The sequence below is a fragment of the Homo sapiens genome, chromosome 4 (assembly GCF_000001405.40).
Source record: "Homo sapiens chromosome 4, GRCh38.p14 Primary Assembly".
Classification (NCBI taxonomy): domain Eukaryota; kingdom Metazoa; phylum Chordata; class Mammalia; order Primates; family Hominidae; genus Homo; species Homo sapiens.
In genome coordinates this window covers 177,899,135-177,926,613 of record NC_000004.12, presented here as the reverse complement: position 1 = coordinate 177,926,613, position 27,479 = coordinate 177,899,135, and the positions used below count along the sequence as shown (strand labels likewise).

At 34.2% G+C, this 27,479-nt stretch overlaps 2 long non-coding RNA genes across 3 annotated transcripts in view; one reads left to right on the top strand and one right to left on the bottom strand.

Annotated features, from left to right (window-relative positions):
* LINC01098 (long intergenic non-protein coding RNA 1098) overlaps positions 1-27,479 on the bottom strand; it is a 261,994-nt gene that overhangs the window by 64,137 nt on the left and 170,378 nt on the right.
* LINC01099 (long intergenic non-protein coding RNA 1099) overlaps positions 18,678-27,479 on the top strand; it is a 95,891-nt gene continuing 87,089 nt past the window's right edge. Inside the window, exons 1-2 of one of the 2 annotated variants that reach the window (NR_108093.1) lie at positions 18,678-18,870; positions 22,666-23,230. This is a non-coding gene — a long non-coding RNA (long intergenic non-protein coding RNA 1099). Of the gene's footprint in view, positions 18,871-22,665; positions 23,231-27,479 lie in introns of those variants that run through there. The other variant, NR_108092.1, reaches the window with a different exon arrangement.

Sequence of the window (27,479 nt, the reverse complement as noted above, 5' to 3'; positions counted from 1 at the left end):
TTACTATTTATGGTAACTACTTTACCATTTCAAAAATGGTAGAATTTCTTCACTGGTTTTTCTGTGAAAGTATCCAACTAAGAGCTTGCTTTTCAATTGTATATGATTGTGTTCTAATAGACTCATCTGGGTCCATTTCCTATGTTTTATCATCTTTTAAATCTTTAGACAACTTGGCAAGTCTTGTATTACTATTCAGTTGATATTGGATATTATGCTCACTACTGGGGTGACAGGATCAATCATGCCCCACACCTCAGCATCATACAACATACCCATATATCAAACCTACACGTGCGCTGATTGAATCTAAAGTTTAAAATTTGAAATTAAAATAAATAAAGTTCAGTTGAGTTTGTACTTATAAAACATCATGCATTAGCATTTTATACGCTGGTCAAGCTCTTTCAAGCCCTAACTTCTTTCAAAATTATATTCTAAAGTTTTTAGTAGAGGACCCAATATAAAACCATGTATAGTCAACTGGTCTACATGTTCCTTCCTTTTTTTCCCTTTAAATTATATGCATAGTCAAGATAAACCCATTGTTAGCACAATAATCTGAAACAGCATAGTCCAAACCCATGATCTAAAAGTTCCACATAAAGCAAAATCTATGTATAAAGCCATCTGAAAAGGTAATGTCTTCAGGATCAAAGCAAAGAAACAAGTTTGGTGAAAATAATGTTTAAAAAATTCTCCAGCCTGGCCAATATGATGAAACCCCATCTCTACTAAAAATACAAAAATTAACCAGGCATGGTGGCAGGTGTCTATAGTCCCAGTTTCTTGGGAGGCTCAGTCAGGAGAATCACTTGAACCTGGGAGGTGGAGGTGCATAGAACTATGCACTAAAAATAAAAGTGCATATCTAAACTGGTTAAATTCAAATAAAACCTGTACCTCAGTTCACAGTATTACCTCAATGTAAGTTTCCATTTTTTAACAATGTGCTATTGTCATGTAAGCTATTATTATTATTGGAGGAAGTTGCGTGAAATGTGCATGAAAACCCTCTGTATTATTTTTTCAGCTTCTTGTAAGCAGTAAATCGTTCAAAAAGAATAGGTTATAAAATTGTAAAAATTTAGAAGATACATAGTTTGCTTCAAAAGTATTTACTTGAATTTTTGCTTCACTATAAAGAACCAAAACGGAAACATTACATATACATATAATTGATGAACTAAAAACTGTCACTATCCAGAGCAACCAGAGTGGGAAAAGAAGTTTTTGGCCTTCATAAAAGTGGTAAATAATTTAATTTTTTCTTTTTATTGCATACATTTAATGCATAAAACATGACGTTTTTATATATATTCATATAGTGAAATGATAACTACAGTCAAGCCAATTAACATATCCACATGGTTACCTTTTTTGTGCGAAGGACACCTAAAATCTATTCTCTTAGAAAATTTCCAGTATATAGTATAATATTATTAACTATACTCCTCATGCTGTACTTAGATCTCTAGATTTATTCATCTGACATAAACTGAAACTTTGTACCCTTTGACTTACATCTCTCTATTCCCCCCATATTTTTAATTTTTTAAAATAAAAATAAAATGCTTAATTTAAGTCTAAATCATGTCTTGAATTCTGCAGTTAGGTAAACTGTTTTTTTTGAATAAGAAGAATCACACTGAATAAAATCAAAATAGGAAAATAGGATTGCAATAAAATCATCTTTTGAGTTTTGTTGCCTCGTTTCTTTGATTTTTAACTAATCAAAAAAGCACTTCCACATTAATCCTCCAAAAGCATAATTTCAATTTTAATTATTGTTGATTTTTCATGGAAAAATTATACAAATTCTTAACACCTTCATATTAGAGTTCTAAATTTGACATTCAAGAGTTCTCAAAATTTGAATGCCTGGTTTTTTATGATTTCAGTAACAGCAAAAGAAATTAGTGTTGGGAAATTCATTCTTCACTAGAGTTACTAGGTATTGTAAATTTTGATTATTACATTGATGAGGCTATATTTTTCATATAATCAGAAAAATGAATATTAGAATAAATGTAAACAGGAACAGAAATTAGTATATACCACTTTTTAAATAGTAAAAAATGTCATTAGAATAACTTAAAAGTCCTGAAGTCTGGATTGCTTTTAAAACATTTTGTAGAAGTAGTAGACTTGAACCCCATATAGGAAGTTCAAAACTTGGATGTGCGAATGGGAACACGGAATAGACATTGAAGTTGAGAAACACGGCACTAACACAGATTGAAATGCATTTTGTATGTCTCAGAAAATCTGGAGAAATCAGGTTTTGTTTAGAAAAAGTCAAAAGAAATTTGAAAGATTGTGTTTGTGTTTTAACTCTCATTTGATCTTACCTCCCCTATCTCCTGCTTTCTGTCTGTTTCTGTTTCAAATATGAAGTCTCTGCAAGAGCTGAATCTTCTATTGGCACATGACTCTAGACCATAACAGTGAGATTGCATTCCAGAATTTTATGAGGTGAAAAAAGAGTCTTTTCTTGCCTAGTGACAGAAACTATGAAGTGTATGGCTCTAGAGTGGTTGGTAATTATATTACCCCCATGGGGAGACAGCTATCATCAGTGAGAAAGAGTTAAGTTCACATTCAGAAAGAAGCAGAGCTCTGTATGAGAGAGCCAAGACAAAAGATGGTTAAGGTCAAACTGTGTCCTTATGCTTCTTGTAGCTTGAGATTTAAACTCATCTTTATATTTTTTAAGCCAAAGTGTTTATCTAGCCAAAATTATTTTGCATAATTGTCATTTGCATTGTATAATGTCATATTTTGAACTGTAAGGCAAATAGAGGTCATTTTTCATGTAATTGAAAGTTTGAAAAAATTATGTAAACTTTGTATTGTGAACACAGGAATATTACATAATTTTAAGAAGGAATGATATGTAAAATAGCAGCATGTAGAATAAATGCTCAAGAAATTATAAGGCGAGATGGAAGAAGTAAATAATTTAGGGACTACTGTAATAAATTATTCCTACTGCAATAAAGATCTAAATTAGGGTACTGACAGTGAGGGTACAAAGTAATGTTGACACTGGGAATTAAAACAGGATGCGTTTGAGTATTCTCTGTACTTGTAACTCTCTCAGGTCAATCAGCTGCCAAATGTGGTAGGTTACACCCCCATATCCAGGATTCACAGGTCCAGGAATCATGGGGTGCAAATGGCTGTGGCATCACTGCTACTCCTAGTGGCCCACTAGAAAAATTCTGCTTTGTGTTCCCATGACTTTATGCTCTGCTGGCCTAACAGTCTTAGCTTCAAAGGGAGAAATGCTTCTACAACAAGACACAACAATTACACTATTTAACTGAAAGTTAAGACTGTTACTCACCCACTTTGGGATCTTCATGTCTCTGAATCAATAGGAAAAGAAGAGAGTTACAATGTTTTGATCCTGCTTACAAAGGGGAAATTGGACTACTATTTCACATTGGCAATAAGAAAGAAAATGTCTGGAATATGGGAGATATTTCTTAGTATTGCTGTGTCCTGTGATTAAAGCCAAGAACAAACCAAAACAACCCAATTAAGACAGGACTACTAATGACTTGGAATCTTCAGGAATAACCCTTTACTTCATTAAATAAAGAACCATCATCAGCTGAGGTACTTGCTGAAGGCAAAGGGAATATTGAATGGATAATGGAAGAAGGTGGTTATAAATACCAACTACAACAATGTGACCAGTTCCAGAAGCAAGGACTATAAGCGTCATAAGGATATTTTTCTTATTTTGTTATGGACACATTTGTGTGTGTTCATAGAAGATGTATTTTTCTTTCTCTATTACCTCCTTATTATATAAGTTGATTATATCATAGTATTTAAGTGTTCTTAAGATTACATCATAATATTTAAGTTACAGGATACCAAGGAAGAGAGTGAACAACACCTATACATTTTGGATTACCTTTTGGATAAAGAGTTAGTGCATTTTGAATTGTTTCATGTTAAATATAAGTATGTCCTACCTCTTATCCTTATTTAGAAATTAACTATGGCTTAGGGAAACATGTATGGGTGTCAAGTTGACAAGGGGTAGATTTGTGATGGTTAATTTTATGCATCAACTAGGCATAATGATTGATTGATACCTCCAATCATTTGGATGTCTTAAGAGAAAAAAGACTGATATCCTCAGTCTTTTGAATTATTATTTCAAAATAAATTGAAATACATAAATTGGATGACAAAGAATTCAAGGTAATTGTTCTAAGGAAGCTCAGTGAGCTACAACAGGACATAAACAACTTAATGAAATCAGAAAAATAATACAAGAACACAATGAGAAACTTAAACAACATTAATAAAACATTTTTTAAAAAGAACGCAACAGAAATTTTGGAACTGAAGAATGCAATGACTGAATTAAAAAATAAAATAGAAAGCATAAGTAGAGATTTGATCAAACAAACAGAAGAATAAGAAAACTCATGGAAATGTTGTTTGAAATTACCCAGAAGGGAAAAAGTTATTTTAAAAAAAGAAATTTTAAAAGCCTATGAGATTTATAAGATGTCAAGAAAGCTAACATTAGCAGTATAGTAGAGAGAAATTAACAAGTTTTTAAAAACTTTAAAAGTAGTGACTGAAAACATTCCAAATCTGGAGAGGGATATGGAACTCTAAGTACATGAAGATCACATATCTCCAATGAGGTTCAACCCAAAGAAGATTGCATCATAACATGTTATAATCAAACTGTCAAAAATCAAAGAAAAAGAGTGAATTTTGAAAGCAGCAAGGGGGAAGAAGCTAATCACATATAAGGTAATTCTCATGTGGCTATCAGTGGGTTTCTCTGCACAAACCTCACAGGCCAGGGCAGAGTGAGATAATATATACAAAGCGTTGAAAGAGAGGGGAAAAAAAAGCATCTCTCAACCAAGAATACTTTACCAAGCTAAGCGGTCATACAGCAATGAGGGAGAAATAAAAACTTTTACACACAAATAAAAGAAGAGGGAGTTCTTCACCATTAGATGTGACTTTCAGGAAATTCTAAAAGGAATTCTTTGAGATGAAATAAATTAATACTAATTAGTAACTTAAAGACATATGAAAGCATAAAACTCACTGGTAAAGGTAAACAATCAAATTCAGGATAGTATTATAATGGTGGCATGTGAATGATTTATAATAACTGGTATAAAAGTTAAAATACAAAAGTATTAAAATAACTATAGTTACAATAATTTGTTAATTAATATACAATGCAAAATGTAAATTGTGACATCAAAAACATAAAATGGGGGGTAGTGAAAGTGTAGAGTTCATATATATGATCTAAGTTAAGTTGTTATCAGCTCAAAATAGAGTGTTGTAAGATATTTTATGTAAGCTTCATGGCAACCACAAAGCAAAAATCTACGGTGAATATATAAAAAATAAGGGAAAAAGATTCAAAGCATACCAATATAGAGAATCATTAAATCACAAAGGAAGAGAGGAAGAAAGAAACAAAAAATCTATAAAACAGCTAGAAAATAATTAACAAAATAGCAACAGTAAGTCTTTATCGATTACCTATCAATAATTACTTTAGTTGCAAATGGACTAAATTCTTCAATAAAAAGACAGAGTGGCTAAATGGAGGGGGGGGGGCAAAACAACCAAAAATAAAATCCAACCATATGCTACCTATAAGAGAGTCACCTCCGTTTTAAGGATACAAATTAACTGCAAGTAAAGGGATGAAGAAAGGTACTCTATGAAAATGATAATCAAAAGAAAGCAGGAGTAGCTACACTGACATCGGACAAAATACTTAAAATTAAAAACTATCACAACAGATAAAGTAGGTCATTATATAATGACAAAGGGTCAATTTATCACAAGATAAAACTATTATATATTCAGCCAACATCAAAGCATATATATACATTAACATAGCTAAAGGGAGAAAAAATAGCAATGTAATAATTATAGGTAATGTTAATACCTGACATTCAACAATGGATAGATCGTCCAAATGAAAGGCAGTAAGGAAACACTGGATTTTAAATGCACTTTAGACCAAATAGACATAATAGACAGACATATATAAAACATTCCATCCAATGGCATCAGAATACATTCTTTTCAACCACACACGTAATAGTACTACAGATTTTAAAAGAAAGAAACACAAAAGTAATTATAAATCTATGTTAAGGAGCATGCATTATATATAGATGCAATTTATGACATCAGTAACATACATCGGGGGGTGCAGAGTGGTAAAGAAGTAGTGTTTTCTATGTAATTGAAGTTCAGTTGGTATCATTTTAAAATAGCTTTTGCTATAACTTTATGATGCAATATGTAACCCCCATGGTAACCCCACATATAAAATCTATAGAATGTACCCAATAGGATATTAGAAGGGAATAAAAACCTGTCATTAAAAAAATAAGCAAAAAGGAAGGCAATAAGAAAGACAATGAAGTTGCAAAGAAGCTGTAAGACATAACAAAAACAAACAAAATTGCAATAGTAACTTTTTTCCTATCAGTAATTATGTAAATGTAAATGGATTAAACTCTAAACTCGGAAGACATATATTGGCAGAATGGATAAAAAAGTAGGATCCAACTACATGCTTATACAACAGGTTCACATTAGGTCTAAGAATAAATCTATGTTGTAAGTGAAAGGATGGTCAAATATATTTCATGCAAATACCGAAAAGAGAACAGGGGCACCTACACTTATTTCCAAAAAAAAAAAAAAAAATAGACTTCAAGTCAAAAATTGTTACGCTAGCCAAAGAAGGACAGTTTATAATGATAAAAGTGTGAATTCATAAAAAGGTGTAATAATCACCAACATATATGAACTAAACATCAAAGCTCCCTAAATATCAAAAACAAATATCAACAGTATTCAACGGAGAAATAAACATCTGTAATAATAGTAGGATACTTCAATCTCCATATTCAATAATGGATGAAAAAACATAACAGAAGATCAGTAAGAAAACAGTGAACGTGAACACTGTAGATCATTTGGACCTAACAGACATATACAGAACACTGCACCCAGCAATAGAAAAACACATTTTCTTTAAGCACACATGGAACATTTTCTGGGGTACATCATATATTAGGCCACAAAAAAACTTTCAATAAATTTTAAAAGATTGAAATTATACAAAGTGTCTTTTCTAATCAATGGAATGACACTAGAAATCAAAGCAGAACGAAACTAGGAAAATCCACAAATTTGTTACAATCAAACAGTGCCCTTCTGAATGGGTCAAAGAAGAAATTACAGGAAAAAGTAGAATGTATAAAAGTATCTTGAAATAAATGACAATTGAAACATATCAAAATTTAGGGATTTTAGTGAAAGCAGTGATAACAGGATTTTATAGTTGAAAAATGCTTGCATTTAAAAAGAAAGGTCGAGATAGCATTGAATCTATAAATTACTTTTGGCAGTATGGCCGTCTTCACGATATTGATTCTTCCTATCCATGAGCATGGAATGTTTTTCCATTTGTTTGTGTCCTCTCTTATTTCCTTGAGCAGTGGTTTGTAGTTCTCCTTGAAAAGGTCCTTCACATCCCTTGTAAGTTGGATTCCTAGGTATTTTATTCTCTTTGTAGCAGTTGTGAATGGGAGTTCACTCATGATTTGGCTCTCTGTCTAATATTGGTGTATAGGAATGCTTGTGATTTCTGCACATTGATTTTGTATCCTGAGACTTTCTGAAGTTGCTCATCAGCTTAAGGACATTTAGGGCTGAGACGGTGGGGTTTTCTTAACATACAATCATGTCATCTGCAAACAGAGACAATTTGACTTCCTCTCTTCCTATTTGAATACGCTTTATTTCTTTATCTTGCCTGATTGCCCTGGCCAGAAATTCCAATACTATGTTGAGTAGGAGTGGTGAGAGAGGGCATCCTTGCCTTGTGCCGGTTTTCAAAGGGAATGCTTCCAGCTTTGCCCATGCGGTGTGATACTGGCTGTGAGTTTGTCATAAATAGCTCTTATTATTTTGAGATACATTCCATCAATACTAAGTTTATTGAGAGTTTTTAGCATGAAGGGGTGTTGAATTTTATTGAAGGCCTTTTCTGCATCTATTGAGATAATCATGTGGTTTTTGTCATTGGTTCTGTTTATGTGATGAATTGTGTTTATTGATTTGCGTATGTTAAACCAGACTTGCATCCCAGGGATGAAGCCAACTTGACCATGGTGGATAAGCTTTTCGATTGCTGCTGGATTCAGTTTGCCAGTATTTTATTGAGGATTTTCACATCAATGTTCATCAGAGAAATTGAGCTGAAATTTTCTTTTTTTATTGTCTCTGCTAGGATTTGTTATCAGGATGATGCTGGCCTCATAAAATGAGTTAGGGAGGAGTCCCTCTTTTTCTATTGTTTGGAACAGTTACAGAAGGAATGGTACCAGCTCTTCTTCTTACCTCTGGTAGAATTCGACTGTGAATCCATCTGGTCCTGGGTTTTTTTTGGTTGGTAAGCTATTAATTACCACCTCAATTTCAGAACCTGTTACTGGTATATTCAGGGATTCGACTTCTTCCTGGTTTAGTCTTTGAAGGGTGTGTGTGTCCAGAAATTTATCCATTTCTTCTAAATTTTCTGGGTTATTTGCATAGAGGTGTTTATATTATTCTGTGATGGTAGTTTATATTTCTTTGGGATCAGTGGTGATATCACCTTTCTCATTTTTATTGTGTCTATTATTTCTTCACAGAATTAGAAAAAGCTACTTTAAATTTCATATGGAAACAAAAAAAGAGCTTGTATAGCTAAGACAATCCTAAGCAAAAAGCACAAAGCTGGAGGCATCATGCTACCTGACTTCAAACTATACTACAAGGCTATGGTAACCAAAACAGAATGGTACTGGTACCAAAACAGACACATAGACCAATGGAACAGAACAGAGCCCTCAGAAATAACACCACACATCTACAACCATCTGCTTTTTGACAAACCTGACAGAAACAAGCAATGGGGAAAGGATTCCCTATTTAATAAATGGTGTTGGGAAAACTGGCTAGCCATATGCAGAAAACTGAAACTGTACCCCTTTCTTACACCTTATACAAAAATTAACTCAAGATGGATTAAAGACTTAAACATAAGACCTAAACCATAAAAACCCTAGAAGAAAACCTAGGCAATACCATTCAGGACACAGGCATAGGCAAAGACTTCATGACTAAAACACCAAAAGCAATGGCAACAAAAGCCAAAATTGACAAATGAGATCTAGTTAAACTAAAGAGTTTCTGTACAGCAAAAGAAACTTTCACCAGAGTAAACAGGCAACCTACAGAATGGGAGAAAATTTTAGCAATCTATCCATCTGACAAAGGGCTAATATCCAGAATCTACAAGGAACTTAAACACATTTACAAGAAAAAACAAACAACCCCATCAAAAAGGATATGAACATACACTTCTCAAAAGAAGACATTTATGTGGCCAACAAACGTATGAAAAAAACCTCATCATCACTGGTCATTAGAGAAATGCAAATAAAAATCACTATGAGATACCATCTCATGCCAGTTAGAATGGCAATCATTAAGAAGTCAGGAAACAACTATGCTGGAGAGGACGTGAAGAAACAGGAACGCTTTTACACTGTTGGTAGGAGTGTAAATTAGTTCAACTATTGTGGAAGACAGTGTGGTGACTCCTCAAGGATCTAGAACCAGAAATACCATTTGACCCAGCAATCCCATTACTGGATATATACCCAAAGGATTATAAATCATTCTACTATAAAGACACATGCACACGTATGTTTATTGCAGCACTCTTCACAATAGCAAAGACTTGGAACCAACCCAAATGTCCATCAGTGATAGACTGGATAAAGAAAATGTGGCACATATACACCATGGAATAGTATGCAGCCATAAAAAAGGATGAGTTCATGTGCTTTGCAGGGATATGGATGAAGCTGGAAACCATCATTCTCAGCAAACTATCACTGGAACAGAAAACCAAACACCACATGTTCTCACTCATCTCACTCATAAGTGGGAGTTGAACATAAGAACACATGAACACAGGGAGGGGAACATCACACACCGGGGCCTGTCAGTGGGGTGGGGGGTTAGGGGAGGGATAGCATTAAGAGAAACATCTAATGTAGATGGCGGGATGATGGGTGCAGCAAACCACCAACCTGCATGTTCTGCACATGTATCCCAGAACTTAAAGAATAATTTTAAAGAAATAAATAAATAAAAAAGAAAAGGAGAAAGATCTAAATTCACAACCTAACTTTACACCTGAAGGAACTAGAAAAAGAAGAGAAAGTAACTGTAAAGGTAGTGTAATGAAGGAAATAAAAATTCCTTTTATGGGAATTTCCAGAGATAGGAAAACAGCAGAAAACCAACAGAGAAAATCTACGAAACCAAGAGTTGGTTCTTCGCAAAAAAATACATTTGTTAAAGTGTTAGGTTTACTAACAATAAAAAAGAGAAGACAACTACAATTACAAATGAAAATATTGATTTTACAGAAATAAAAATGATTATAAGAGAGTATTATGAACCATAGTACATCAAACAAATAACATTACTAATCATCAGCAATATGTAAATCAAAACCACACTAAGATATAGCTTCACACCCATTAGGATAGCTATCAAAAAAGGAAAATAGCAAGTGTTGGCATTAATGTAGAGAAATCAGAACCTTTGTGCACTACTACAGGTGGGAATGTAAAATGATGCAGCCACTATAGAAAATAGTATGGTGGTTTCTCAATATATTGAAAATAAAATTACTATATTAACTAGAAATTCCAATTTTGGGTATAAATTTAAAAGGATTGAAGGCAGTGACTCAAACAGATACTTGTACACTCATGTTCATAGTAGCATTATTCATAATAGCCAAAAGGTAGAATAAAACCAAGTGTCCACTGATTGATAAATAAACCACACACACACGGAGAATTATTATGGATAAAAAAAGCAGGCTCCAACTACATGCTTATACAAGAGGTTCACACTAGGTCTAAGAACAACCCTATGTTGAAAGTGAAAGGATGGTAAAAGATATTTCATGCCAATACTCAAAAGAGAGCAGGGGTACCTACACTTACTTAAAAAAAATAGATTTCAAGTCAAAAATTGTTACAATAGACAAAGAAGAACACTTTAAAATGGTTGAAATTGTATGTTTTCTATCTTACCAAAATAAAATTTAAAAAACACATATATATAATCAAAGAATATAATGTGAAATTTTACTTTCATTTGACTTGCCTTTGTTTTATTAAGCACATATTCTTGCATAATTTATGTTACATAAAAATAAAAGGACTTGTTAGAAATGGAGGCACCTCCAAGAAGATCTTAATCCAGTGATTACTTGTTCACCAGCTCTGAGGCATTTTCATTATCATAATAAATTATATAATCATTATATAATTATCTATAATTATAATATAACTATAATTATAACTAAATGAACATCTCCTAAGCAAGTATAATATGCCAGGGGCTATACATAAAGAAAAGATATTTTACTTTATTGGCTTTGTCCCTTTCTAATTTTGGCAGGACTGTGTGCCTTTATCTTTTGATGCCAAATGAGCTCCCTCTTAGAGTGTAAGATTTCTCTAAACTTTTCCTCTTCTATACCTACTTTATAAACCTTAAAAGTTTTTCAAAGTATCTTAACCCATTTTTAAAAAGGAGAGAAAGAGTAGTCATCATACTAATTTTTATCTAATTTATTTTTTAAAAAACTCCCCAAGGTATTTATATTTATAGGACTCAAAATAGATGTCCTATTAAACTGTTTTGAGATTACATAAGGAGAAAAGCACAAAAGCTTGAAGGCAAATAGAGAGAGGTTTAAAAACTTGTATAACGTGCTTTGGTGAGGGGAATCAAAGGATTGCAGATTTAATCACATGCAAAACTTTAAAGTCTAATTATAGGAGTCCATCATCTGGAGCCAAAGGCCAGAAAACTAATTCTTACTTGTAAATGTAACTGAATTGAAGCTCATTTTGCAGAAGTGTCATCTGAGCTTCATGGAGCTATGGCTGTTTCAGCCCTTTGCTCCATTCACTGTGTTGGCAAAATTCTGCAGGAATATAAAACAAATTTTGGAACTCATCAATTAGAAATCCTCCGATGCACTTTCAGAAAAGAAGAACTTCTGACCTAAAGCAATTCTAATCAGTAAAATTACATATATATATTCAATAACCAGGCTAGGCTATTAAGTATAACATATTAATGGTAAATGGAGCTCTTGAAAATATTTATAGAGAATATGTAGTTTTTCTCTGAAAATTAAAAGTTAGTCTTCTTGTTAGTATAGATAGAAATCTAAGAGAAAATATATATGCAGTAACAGTAAAGAAACCCAAAAGTTAATCTGAAAATTCATGAGACAAGAACAACAATTTTGTGAATGTATGTGTTTCATTTAATGACAGATAATAAATCATGTAGTCGAAATATTTTTGTCTGTCAATGACTTCTGCATTGCTGAAAAATTGAGCTATTCCCAAAACATGAAACTAGAAAAGCAAGAAATTCTCATTGTTCTTTAGTGAAATATAGCAGGTAGACAGTGTGAGGAAAGATTGTACAAAGTAACATTTAACCCTCAACATGTTTGGATTGTGTAGCCTTCAATAAAGGGTTTCTTATGCATTTTCTTTCTCTTTAACTGACGTATCTCAACTGCCTAAACGATGCCTGAGACATATTGGGTGCCTAATAATTACCTGTACAATGAATAAATATATTGGATATGGTTATATTATTTCAGTTACAAGCAAAATGGGTAACTTTTTGTTCTTTGGTAACAGAACTTTAGTTAGTCCCTGAAAGTGAAAGTGACTTTACATTTGCATCCCTACGGTCCTCACACTATAACAATTAATTCCAAAGCCAATGATAAAATGTCTTTGTGGAAAGAGCTGCTAGAAGTTTCTTGCAGTCAAATGCCTGAGTTTCAGACTATCCTCAACTAGTTCTAGGCACAGTAACAACAGCTAAATATTTCCCGCTAGAACTTGGGAAGACCCAAAAGTTCCTGAATAGGATCAACATTTGTGAGCCCCTTCTAGAAATTACAGTACTTCCATGCATTTAGTTGATATTTATAGACTCAGAGCTGAAAGAAATTTTTATCATAGAAGATTGTGATTATGTTTTCTAAGATTAATACTCACTCATTTCAGAGAAGTTAATACAAAAAAATAAAATTTATTATCATATTTTTATCTGTAGATAGCGATTGCAGGTAACTTAGAATTTTTCCAGGTACTGTTTTCAATTCCTGTTTTTCTTTTGCATGTATTTTGCAATTTTTATTTACCTGGGAATTAATCAAAAAGCTGTACTTTTTACAAATGTGGGAACAAATTTTTGCTATAATTGAGTGTAATCCATGAAAGGGGGAAACACTGAGCTGAGCAGGTCTATGACATGGTCTGGAATAATACCCACTCAGAGAAAACAAAAAGTAGGAGTAGAGTAGTAGAGCATGAAAATGATTCTAAACCAAGGTTATGTATATCTTAATCCATACAGATGGTCCTCAAGTTAATCGTTGTTGACTTTAAGATGGTGCAAAAATGATCCATATTCAATAGAAATTGTATTTTGAGTACCCAAACAACCATTCTGTTTTTCACTTTCAGTACAGTTTTCAATAAATTACATGAGATATTCAACACTTTTTTATAAAATAGCTTTGTGTTAGATGATTTTTCCCAGTTGTAGACTAAAGTAAGTGTTCTCAGCACGTTTATGGTAGCAATAGGGAAAGGAGGCAGAGAAATTCTAGGCGAAAAGCATGGGGTCCCTGGCAAAGTCCTATCCTCAAGCCTCGACCTGTGGCCCAGAGTGAGAACATGCATTCCTATTTTCCTGCTAGAATGTTGCCTTTTCCAAAACTACCCATGGCCTGCCCTTCCCCTCATCCTGTACCCATAAAAACCCTGACCCAGGGGACAGATGCAGTGGCTCATGCCTGTAATTGAAGCACTTTGAGAGGCTAAGGCAGGCGGATCACTTGAGGTCAGGAAAAAAAGACAGCCTGGCCAACATGGTGAAACCCTGTCTCTACTAAAAATATAAAAATATTAGCCAGGTATAGTGGTGTGCACCTGTAATCCCAGTCAGTCAGGAGGCTAAGGCAGGAGAATCGCTTGAACCCAGGAGCCAGAGGTTGCAGTGAGCCAAGATTGTGCCACTGCACTCCAGCCTGGATGACAGAGCAAGACTCCATCTCAAAAAAAAAAAAAAAATCCCTGACCCAACTGTCAGAGAGCAGAGGAGGGGAGAAGAGGAGGGGAGAAGAGGAGAGGCAGCTGGACATCAGAACTGTGGTTGGACGTTGGAGAGAAGCAACTTGACTTCAGAGGGACAGCTTAACAGTGTTGCTTTGGAGTGGAGTTTGGCCTGGATGGCTGGACTCCAGGGGAAGATCACCTTCCTGCTCCATCCCCTTTCCAGCTCCCCTTCCCGCTGAGAGCCACTTTCATCAGCAATGAAATCCTCTGTATTCACCACCCTTCAATTCATTCATATGACCTGATTTTTCCTGGATGCTGAACAAGAGTTCAGGTGCCACAGGTGCAGACACTAAAGACTGCCACACTGACCCTCTGCCCTTATGAAAAGGCAGAGGGCCCACTGAGCTGTTTAACACTTAAGCCATCTGTGGATGGCAAAGCTAAAAGAGCACTGTAACACACACCCTCTGGGGCTTCGGGGGTCATAGGAACTCCCCCCAGAAGCTGCTGTTGGGCACCACACAGAGTTTTGCTCCTGCCAGCACCCAAAAGCACTGCTCCGGCTCCTGCACACACTCACCTGCGCGCTTACTCTCCCATAAGGGGTTGAGAGCTGCCGGCTGAGTAAGTGAGACACCCTTGTTGGAAAGCCTGCAAACAGGACAAGAAAAATTTCCTGTTTAAGTAGTCTAGGCTAAACTATGGTGTTTGGTATATTAGATGTATTAAATGAATTTTCAACTTTATGATATTTTCAACTTAGCTTGGGTTTACTGGAACATAACCCTATCATAAGTGGGCATGTATATATTTAAAAATACTGATATCACACCGTGATAATTAATGCAAACTTGTTTTGTGGTCATGAGTCTTTGAATTCCTTTGAGTGTATTGGTGGAAATTCTAATAAAAGAATATTCTGCTTTGAATTTTACTTAAATTCATATTTAGTGTATTGCCTTTTTTTTTTTTTTTTTTGAGATGGAGTCTTGCTTTGTCACCTAGGCTAGAGTGCAGTGGCACAATCTCGGCTCACTGCAAGCTCCGCCTCCCGGGTACACACCATTCTCCTGCCTCAGCCTCCTGAATAGCTGGGACTACAGGCACCCGCCACCACACCCGGCTAATTTTTTTTTTTTGTATTTTTAGTAGAGATGGGGTTTCACCGTGTTAGCCAGGATGGTCTCGATCTCCTGACCTCATGATCCACCCACCTCGGCCTCCCAAAGTGCTGGGACTACAGGCGTGAGCCACCGCGCCTGACCCTTTTCTTTTAAAACAAAGTTGTAATACTTAACTAGCTACATAGTATGTACTTTGGGTTAACATAATCAATAATATAGTGTAGGTGGTACATTCAAATCTTTCATTATGTTTCTTCTTAACTTTTAAAATAGGTTGTACTTGATGCCACACTGCTTGGCATACAGTAGTTTCATATGTCTTTGAAGATTATTGGTTTGACTTCAGTTTTCTTTTTTAAAAAAAAGTTAGTTAGATTCTCTATAGCAAGAATAAGACTGAAATAAATAAACCAGCTCTGAAGGAAGAATAAGAAGCAGTAAATACTCTTTGAGTAATAGACGCTATTAAAAATAGCAAAATAACTTTTATTTTCACATTGATGGAGTTGAATACGCATCCCTGCCCAGGGCTGGGAAACTTCAGGACACTGATACTTGTTTTCATTATGAAAGCTAAATTAGCTTTTCTGTGATACACGGTAGAACAACTGCATTGTTCCAAGGCCTTCTTTCACAGATTGCTTCAGGCCTCAAACTCGAGTTAATGGTGACTTGTAGAACAATAGCTCTGACCATTAATAGGGTTGATAATTTCACTTGAGCAAAAATTCATAAGGAGATAGACTATCAGAATATAGGAATTTTGAAAGGCCACAAAAGGTATGACATAGATGCTGGGCACCCCAGAATATGAGAAAGGCTGCCTTGAGCATTTTATTTAATTAAAAAAGTATATAACTTTAGAAAATAAAGTTGCTTACATAAAGTAGATTTATAAACATATACTTATGAGAAAAAAAGTGAAAAAAAATGGAATAATGCCTAAATAATGAACGTCAATAGAAAAAAAAAGTATTTTCTTCCCAAAAGAAGGGAAGAAAAACATCAGTTTAGACAAGAGAAAAGGAAAAAGGAAAATAAAAAACTTCAGAGATACATACAGTCAAGAAAAAGAGAAAAGGAAAAAGGAAAGTAAAAAACTTCAGAGATACATACAGTCAAGAAAAAGAGGCCTTCAGCAAATAAGCTTTCTCTAACTTCAGCCTTAATATAGGCACAAACTGAGATTTAAGAGAAAATTAATGTTCCTTACTTTGAAACTTTTTTTCTGAATCAAAGCCTAAAAATTGAAAATTGAAAATGAGATAGTGTGGGCTGGCATGACGAGTCAGTAACTATAACCTGTGGACCAAATCATACAGTCTATTTTTGTTTGTGTGTGTAAATTAAATTTTATTAGAACACAATCACGATCATTCATTTGCATGCTGTCTTATCTACAGCTTCTTTTATAACACAATGGTTGAGTAGTCGTAACAGAGAACAGACGGCCTGCAAAGCCTAATGTATTTACTATGTGGTAGCTTATAGGAAAAAAACGTACTGACCCCTGGCCGAGAGCATCAGGACACCATTCTTAGAGAAAGTAATCTTCAGTGTGTTCTGAAGTATAGGTTAAAAAATAACACACACACAGAAAACAGATTTATTGAATAATGATTTTATACTTCACGTTGTAATACCTTTCCATATGCTTACAAAAAGTCATGAGATAGGTGCCATTCTCATTTAAGAAATTAGGTAACTGAAGCTCAGGGACATTTAATCTGCAAACCGTAGCACAGTCCATGGCCTGTACACACAGCACACACTGTTGTGGGGGTCGTGTATTACACAAGCATGCCACAGTTTAAGGAGCTGCCATTCATTCACAAATATAATGTATTTATATATTTGTTGCAACAATTATTTGATAGATAGCAATGACATGTATGTTCCAACGAAATCAGTATGACAGTTGGAAGTAAAGCATATTGAGATAGGATGCCTTTATCTTGAATTCACATGAAGATTCCATCTGGGCTACTGATAATAATTCACAATATGATAATATGAAGTTTATTTAATGAATTAGCATATTAGGTTAGAATGAAAAATCAGGTAAAAATGTAAATAAAAGCTTTTAATCAGCAGTGAACCTGATGTGTATTTTTTCAGTTTTCTCCACACTGAAGTGATATCACAGAATTGAGATAAAAATTAACATATTAAAACTAAAGACACCCTATGTTTTGCAACATAAGATTGCTACTGATTCTTAATGGAGACTGCCTTATGCATACCTGGATTCTTGTGGTGCTATTAGAATGGAAATTTTGTAGCAACATTAATAACTGAGAATCTCTGTGACACATGTATCTCACCTAGAGCTGGTTTCCTTTTTATGTTAAATGTGCTGCTTACATTTTAATGTTTAGAATCATACAATTCAGCACTAAATATACAGACCAAATATCTGTAGTAAATAAAACCCTTTGGAGACAGTGTACCTACTTCTAAAAATGAAGCCAACCTTGTCATATTGTTAGCTTTTAAGGTCACTGTATTTTAACACTGTTAGCATTTTCACAAATTCTAATAAAAAAATCCTGGAAATAAGTCTAACTTTTAACACACACACACACACACACACACACACACACACAGAGAGAGAGAGAGACACACACACAGATATAGATATAGATATAGATATAGATATAGATATAGATATAGATATGCATATTACCAAAATAGTTTCTAACTGAATATTTAATAACTTTGCTGTTTCGGAATTGTTTCTTTTCCTTCAGTAAATTTGAAAATACTGTTGTAGTGATAAGAACACATTTAGTAAACAAATGTAAGAATAGATGTGAGAGGTTCTAAATGTAGGTAGAAAGCAGCACAAGTGAAGGAGCATTTATTGAAACTGGGGTATTTCACAGCCGGGTTGATATCGCACCTGAATTTTAGAGAGCAGTTAGGTTTGAAACTGATAAAACGGGAAGAAAGCAAGTAGCTTATCTAGGGCAGAAAACTTCTGGGGAGATAACCAGCTCAGAATTCCCAGCAGGTATTACGGAATGTGAGTCCTGGAGAAGTCAGCAAACGGATGGACAATTGGGAAACTTTCTCTGTGAAGAAACGAAAAACGCTGTGCATAAATAAGATTGGTGAAGATAACTGTGCTGGAAAAGATAAACAAGTGCAGAATATTAGAGCAAAAACTGTGTTAGGGAGTAGGAAAAAGCTGAGAAGACAGCAGTAAAAGCAGGAGGAGTACAAGAGCACATCGTGAGAGAGTGCAGGATTTCCAGGAAGTGTTGACAGTGTCACATGTTCCAGAGGAGAAAAAGAGGAGGAATGGCAAAGGCTGATTGACTTTGTCAGCTACTTACTTTAAAAAACATTTGAGAAAGCCAGAAAGCAGAGGGGAGGAAGCTCCACCGTCATGAGAATGGGAAGCAGAGGCAGCGGCAGCGTGCACAGACATCCTTTGAAGGTTTGTTATAAACACAGAAACTGATGTCTGGGAAAAGGTAAGAGTTCTTAAAATTTTTTTGTTGTTGTTTTTCTGTGTGTATGTGTGTGTGTTTACATTGGGACACAGGTGAAATTTGAACATGCTTATTAGCCAAATTGCCTCAGCAAGATAAAATTAAAGATATAAGAGACTGGGAATAGCTGATGTCAGAAAATACTGAAGATACTGTAGATAAAAACAGCTAAAAAAAACAGTAAGAGCATATTGACCAAAATTTTAAAGAAATATACTTAAGGCCTGGAATAAATACATTTGCACAGTATCTGAAATGACACCTCCTTGAACATAACAGAGAGAAAGAGTTATGGAGATTCTTCCACGTGTTTTTTAATTGCTCAAAGAGTAATTTTTTTCCTTTATACAATTGACTTCCAAAAATACAACAAAACAAAAACAAACAAAACATCCATACAAACGTATGTCAGTAGTAGCTCAGGCACACCCTCTACCATTTAGAAATAGGGTTTCCAAATAACCATCTGATCTTTTCCACACTTTGGTCTGAGATGCTTCTCAGTTTCAACATTTAATCATACTGTAAGTGGGATGGATTTGAGTATTAAAATTTACATTGAATATAGGAACTATTTCAGTTGTGTATGGGGGTGTAGTAATAGAATGAGGAGGTCCTTAGAGAAAACAATATACAAAATCACAGAGGAAAATTAAATTAATCTTATGATAGGTCAAATTTATAATGTAGCAGAATTGTATTTTTATATATTCTGCTTTCATTTTATGATTCACTGGGGCCTGTGAATTATCAGAGTATATAGTACATTTATGTTCATTGAACAGAACACCAAGCATAATTTTATCATTTAAAATTATTGCACAAATTCGTAGTTGTATGTTACTTTCAGACATATTTTCAGTCATGTCTATGATTTATTAAATGCTTGGTCTACCATATAACATCAAATTATAACATTGTTCCTATGAGAAAATATAAAATTTTTATAACAATCTGCTGTACAGTAAGGTTTCTCAGAATACATTGTGGAGACAAATGAGAACTTCCCTATAGCAGTTTTATGAACTATACTTGGCATAGATTTATGGTTTAAGGATAAACTGTCCCTGGTGAATATTTAGTAGCTTATGTAAACCTGATTTTGAAATGTTGAGATACATATTATCTTCTTAACCACAACATTTAAAGCCCTGTTTCAGGACTACCTCTCTGACACAGACTCCACTCTGTGCTCATCTTCTGATTGGTAACAGTTTCATAAAGATGCCCCACCTGCCTTATTCTTTGGACACTTCAATGTATCCTGCATTGCATTTTGACTATACTGCTCTAGCCTTTCTTCAGAATACCACCGATGTTGTATTCTTTATATATGGAGACCAGTTTTGTTAGAGTTAAAGAATGTGCATTACACTGTTTTTAGAAAAGGCAATTCCCCCAGACATACACACACACACACACACACACAATAATAATAATGTGGTGGCACATTAATTAAATCATGGCTGTAGGTGAAATTTATTTAGGAAGAGATAAACCCAAGATTATGCTGAGTTCACAGCACTTACACATACTCTAGAGAAAAGTAAAATCACTAAGCAAAATGATGAACCTGAGTCATGAAGCAAAGGTTTAAGTATGTTCATTACAATGATCACAACAGGATATTAATTTGAATATATTTTTATTTGTTCCCTCTACAGGCATGAAATATTTTGAATATTTTTAAAAGGCTATTACTGTAGTACAGAGTTGTTATATTAATACTATGGTTACATAGAAAATTAAGTTATTTAGAAGACTTCGGGTACAAAACCACATTAGATTACAAGAGTACTATCCTACAAATATTTATATTTAAGATATTTGTCACAACAGAATCTTAAAGTGTGATTCTAATTGTAAAGAAATCTTGTTAGCAAATATCCAAAGATCTAGGTTTAAAATGGAGTGATTGACGGAGAATGAAGATATCATCATAAAACCCTTACACTGCCCTCAATGGATCACTAGAGAAAAAGTTATCATAGCTAGAGTCTGACCTTATGCTGCTATAAAACTGATATATATTTCAAGATAATACTGCTCTCAGTTGGTTTAGCAACCAGATCTTCTTAGCCTTTAGCATTAGAACATTATATGAATAGACATTTAAACCCTCTTAAACATGATATTCAAATTGTTCTATCAGTTGTATCAAATACTTAAATAATGTAGAGGCTACTACATATAATAATATGTTCTGTTACTCTAGAAATTTTTCTAAAGTCTATCACTCCTAAAATAGCATTAATGGAAAATAGCATCCAATGTTTAATAGATGTTTTTCTGAGAGAGGATCCTAGAGAATTTCTATGAAAATGTGTGTTTTAGTACAAGTAATTTTTTTTCTCTCTAGCAGAATCGTTGTAGTTTCTAAATATAAAGGCACTGAAATCAATGAGGGAAACTTATTTACATAGCTATATTAATGCTCTAGATTGGAAATATCAGACTCACTAGCAGTATGTTTATGTTATTTATTCAACAAATATATACCCATTACTGTTCTGAACATTGGAGATACAATGACAAGCAAAAGTGACATGGTTTCTCCTTCACTCAGTATGTAGTTTGTAGGAGTTATGAAGAAAATGAAAAACACAAAATACAGTGAGTTTATTGCTACTTTATGGGTAAGAGAAGAGTAATATTGGGAAAGCAATAGAAAGAGATAACAAACATTAAACTTTTGAAACCTAAAAACAACTATAACCGCAGAGTAAAATGTTAGTGCGGATGGTGGAAAAGAAGGGGTTAATGACAAGGATACCAGAGAAGCAATCAAGGGCTTTGCAAGTCTTAAAGACTTTGGACTTTTTTATTTGGGAAAATTGTGTGCAAAGGCTGTTTGAACCTATCAATCAGAATTAACCAACCTCCTTTTGATGGTGTTGGGGCTTCTTTGGTGTGTTTTTTCATTTGTCTTTTTATGTGTTTTAATGAAGTCTTTATGTTATTATTGCTAAGAATCATGGTAGAAATACGGTGGGCTAGTCATTGGATTTGAATTCAGGAATGTACAGTCCTAATTTCATAACTGATCTTACCTAGATAACGTTTTGGTTGATTAACCTGTAAAAAGAGTTATGCTATGTTCTCTAATTGTAGGAGATTCCGAAAGCAAAATTAACAACACTATTCTTCCAAAGTGCTAATAACTTGGTAAAAGAACAGTATAATAAAGTGAAGATTCACGTAAAGTATTCTATTAAATGATGAATATTGATCAAAGAAAATGTTAGGTGAAAATGTAGCAAGTATGCCATAGAAATCTGTCCCCATCTAACAGAAAAGCAGCACAATTGTAATTTCTGTTGATGTAAAAGCTATAAGATGTTTATTTACTATATGTCTAATGGATCTGTGTTTTGGTTTTCCACTTATTCAATAACCTTTGTCTTTTTTTTAAACGTGCAACATTTTTAGGCATCTATAAATTGTATGCCCCAAAATAGAGAAAATAATTTAATTTTTTAAATAATGCAACAAAACATAACTTTTCTACCATGTCAATATGCATTAATATTTTTCATAAATGTTGAAAATACTTTAATAAAACAATAATTACTTCTGTAATTATATAGAGAAAATATATAGAGATTATTCCTAAAAGAAAAAATTATATCTATTAAATTACACTCTTGTAGTTTATTTAATTGAGTAAATGTGCTACAGAACAATGAGTAGTTGAATAATTGGTAGTCAAAGTTTAATTCTTGTCCAAGCTCTACTTTTTTTTTTTTCTTGAGACGGAGTTTTTCTCTTGTTGCCCAGGCTGGAGTGCAATGGCGCGATCTCGGCTCACCGCAACCTCCGCCACCCAGGTTCAAGCAGTTCTCCTGCCTTTGTCTCCCGAGTAGCTGGGATTACAGGCATGCACCACCACGCCCGGCTAATTTTGTATTTTTAGTAGAGACAGGGTTTCTCCATGTTAAGGCTGTTTTCGAACTCCTGACCTCAGGTGATCCGCCCGCCTCGGCCTCCCAAAGTGCTGGGATTACAAGCGTGAGCCACTGTGCCCAGCCCAAGCTGTACTTTTATTTAAGTATAATTTAGTTAGATATGTGAACTCACTGAAAATGTATACACAATTTTCTGTGTATGTATAAAATTTGATATTTAAATGTATTTATGGCAAGAGTATCTGTAACTTTTATGAACATATCAAGTGGACATGATCACAAAACATGCAATTTATTACCATAGAGCTTCAGAAATACCCCTTCCAAAAAGTATGTATAATGATATGATACTTACAATGGAGGCAACTATGATATTTAACTGTCAGTAAACTGAAAGAAAAAAATGACTCAAAAAGTTTGTAAAGATGATACCTTTCTCTACAAGTTTAGGCAAACACTTCAATTTTTAAACATTTTTTAACCTAATTTTGTTGCTATGGTATTTTATTTTCACTACTTAATTATTGGGTGCCACGTAATACCTCAAATGAACAAATTATCACTAAAATTAAAAAGGTAGTTGACTAGATAGGTATCCTGTAGGAAGAAAATAGGTCCCCTCAGAATAAATGAGAACTCACTGTACTTTTTAATTCTTTTCAAAAATGAAGGGGAAACAATGGTGTTCCAAGAAAAACAAAGATTCAAGGAATAAATAAAAGAAAATAAATAAAAATATTTTCAGAAAAGTTTGAGAGTATTTGTTGCCAGCAGGAATATATTAAAAAGAAAAAACTAAAATATGTGTTTCAATTAGAAAGAAAACTATTCCACATAGAAATGTAAAAATGTAAAAAGGAATAAAAAGCACTGAAAAGAGTAACTATATAAATATAAATTACTATTCATGTTAATAAATAATTATTACAGTTTCCTATGATGGCCAAAATATGTACATTGATATACATGTTCATGAAATGCAAGAGGTGGGTGCGGAGTTGATAGAGCTTAACAGTTTTAAAGATGCTAACGGTATTGTGAGAATGGTCAAAATATTCGTTTGTTTTAAACTCCATAATACATCAAAATGCATGCTGTAATATCTATAGGAAAAGGTAGAAGCATAGTAAGAAATTAATAAGACAAAATTAATTAAATCAAAAATGGAATAAAAAGAACACAGAAGAGGTAGGTCAAAGAGAAAATAAAAAGTGAGATATCAGCAATACCAATAAATATAAATGGATTAAATATGCTACATAAAACACTAAGATTATTGGCCTTAAAAAAAGCAATTTGTTGTCTTAAAAATTACAGTTGTATTCAGAAATATTGAAATTGAGTGAAAAATAACATAACAAAAAATTTATCTATATACATTAATATCATGAAAATTCAATTTTAAGGTAAAACAAATAGCATTAAGAAAGAAAGAGATGTATATTTTATAATGGCAAAGGTGTATAATTGAATGATTGTATTGGTAACCTCAACTGTGCATTTCCACCAGTATCCATGTCCTTTGCTGTGACTGTGAAATTCATTTAACTAATTTGTTCGAGTATATTTTCCCAGCCCTAAATTTGGGCTTACTGCTATTAATTGTCTTAGCCAAAAATAATGTTAGCAGCTTTAACATAAATAAAACCTTGATGAAGTGTTTGTGGGTTTTGGATTTCTCTTTTGCTTGTCTGTGATAGTCAGAAGAATATGCCCAAACTATCCTTCTGGAAAGAATTTAGAAACATGTGGCTAAAAGAAACACATGGGAAGAGATAAGTTGTCCAAACTAAGACTGTAATAGTCCAGCCAATAGTCAGACAGCTTCCAAAGAAGGAGGCAAGAGAGTGGGAGTGAGAGAACAGCCAAGATCAATAAACTAACCTACATGCTGCTGACTAGCATTGTGGTAGTGAACTGAGAAATGAATACAATCACCACTCAGCCCACTTGTAGACAGATAAAGAATAATATGTTCACTTGTTAAGCCACTGCATTTAGAAACATTATTATATAAAACAGATAACTGATACAGAAACTGGTATCAGAAGAGGAGTGATATCATAACAAAATTTAAAATATGTACTGGTTTTAGTACTTGACAGTGGACAGAGCTGAAAAAAAACTAGCAAGAAAATTGATAGGAAAGGCTAGAAAATGGTAAGAAAATTACTGAAGACCAGAAACATTACAGCCTGTGTTGGGCAGTAGTGAAATGACCATAGAACAATCATGTGCATTAAATTAGAATATAGAAAAATATACCTAGTGAACAGTTGGTTAGGACCAAAACAAAACATATTTCTAATGGAATGTTGACAGGGTCAGTTGGCCCGTAAAAGCTACATATGATAAGCTGTACTAGAACATACAGAGATGAATTTACAGAATTTATAAAGCAAAGAGAACTTGATATGTTAGATATGAAAATGTAATCTCCAAACATTCCAGAGAGCAAAAGCTTCTCAAAAGAAAATATAGAATGCAATTGCATTTAAAATAAAGGGTATGGCAGTAAAAGACTTGTGAATTAATTAAGGTAGATACCATCTCAAATATGCAATGCATAGGATACTATCTCAGTTTCAAAAATCTAGAGAACATTGTGATATAGCAGCTTATTATGGGCAAAGTGATCATGTATCTAGGAAGAGTAGCATATTTGTTAGGGAATTGTAGGAGTGGATTTTGGTTAATGGTGTTGAATGAAGTCAATTTTATTGGAAACCCGCAAAGTTTCTAAGGGAGTTTAATTGTCAAAAATGCCTCCAGCCTGGATTTAAATGGACTGATGTTGCTCAAAATGCAAAAACAAAAGCTCTCTGCCGTATCTTTCTATAGGCAGAAAGGAGAATGTAAAAGTTGATTAAGTCACAAATTTTCCAGTGTCCTTTCAGAAGTAGTTAAGGAGAAGAATAAAAATAAAATGAATGTCCAAAAAACCAGAACCAAGAAATGTGGAGGAAAATGATTTGTAGGTCTACTCTCAATTATTATAATTAAGTCCTAAATAAAATATTCCAAAATTCGGAATATCTGCCAACATTTTCCAAGCTAGATTTCAGAATACCATTGAGACAGTGACAGCTATATGGCCGTTGTTCTCATTCTTGAGTAGAAAATTAGTAAAATTTTCTACAATAAATGCATCAGGTAGTTATCTTTCTTTTGCACCATTGAAGTTACAGGTGGTGGGGGGGTCCAGATAACATCCCTCTTTCATCAAAAATTCTGCAGAATATAAGGAGCTACACAAAAGGAACCACATACGTGGATTTGAGGTTGATCAGAAGATCCTGAATTATGAATTTGATGTAACTGAATGAAATGTGAGGAGGGATCAAGGCGAGAAATGAGCATGTTTTCTACATGGAAGTTTTCTGAGTCATTATGGCTGGGGACTGACTTGTGGTTTATTACATTTTTGATTGATCACCAAAAACTTAAGCTCTATGTTTATATTTGCCCTTTGTCTTATGCTTTTGCAGTTTTCTCACTAAAGAGATGGAGTCAATTTTCCCATACGCTGAATATAAGCTTTGCCACATGACTGCCTGTGTTAGTCATCAATTTATGGTCCCTTAGCTCCAAATTCACCCTCAGTACCTACTCTGCAATATCATTGTATTTATTTCTCCTTTTCAGTAAGCATGATGTTTTGTTAGGAGAGGTCACTAGAAAGACAATGTAGGAAGAAAAAGCGTGCTCTTCTAAGTTTGAGTTGAGTTTTCTGTATTTTTATTTTTCTTGCTCCTGCTTTATGATCTATCTATCTGTGGCCATAAATGTGTGGACATCTGCTGGGTCTCTGCCCCAGCCGATGTCCAGAGTGGTAGTCCCTCAGTGGTCCTATGACTCTGGCCTGGCCTGGTGACTTCTCGGGGTCCCCAGTGCAGACACCACATGTTCCAAGCCTCCTAGTAGCACCCTGCTCTCCCTATGTGCCTTTATCTTGTCTGCAGGAGAGAGCTGTATTTCTCACAGCTCTCCTGATATAAATATTGCATGCTCCCAGCCTCATACCCACAGAAGCACCCTGTGCAATCTCCCACCAGCCTAGGTTTACCTGCATCCTGGAAGGTTGCTTCCAGGGGCCCTCCTAACATGGAAATCACATGCTTCAGGCTTCATGCACACAGCAGTGACATGATTCTATGTGCCCACTTGCTAGCCTCAGCTCTCTGTTGCCCTAGTTGCTTACTCTTCATGGCCTCCTCTATATGAACTTTGTGTTCTTTTTTTGTGTTTGCCAACGATAGTGACATTCCAACTCTCATTGCATACCTACCCCCAAGTCTCAGCTCACCTTCACGTGCATGAAAGTTATAGCCTGATTACCAGGTGACTGAACTAACTCTGGAAGATGTCATCAGTGTGTGTTACTGTCATCAAGTAAGCTAAAGCCGCAGCTTCTCTAATGAGATTGGACCCCTAGCCTTGGAAGAACACCACCCTCTATTATGTTTTCCCTCCTTTATTGATCTTCTCACAACCCTGGAGCACCTATTAACTATCTTTACATCTTTATAGGTTGTTCTCCTAATATAGCTTCATAATTATTTATATTAAACTTCTTCTACTTAAATAATGGTGTCATCTCTTTTTCCTGATTGGGTACAGACTGACAAACTTGCTTTGGCTAAAAGGATATTAGCAGATTTATTGAAAGCAAAGGCTTGAAAGAGT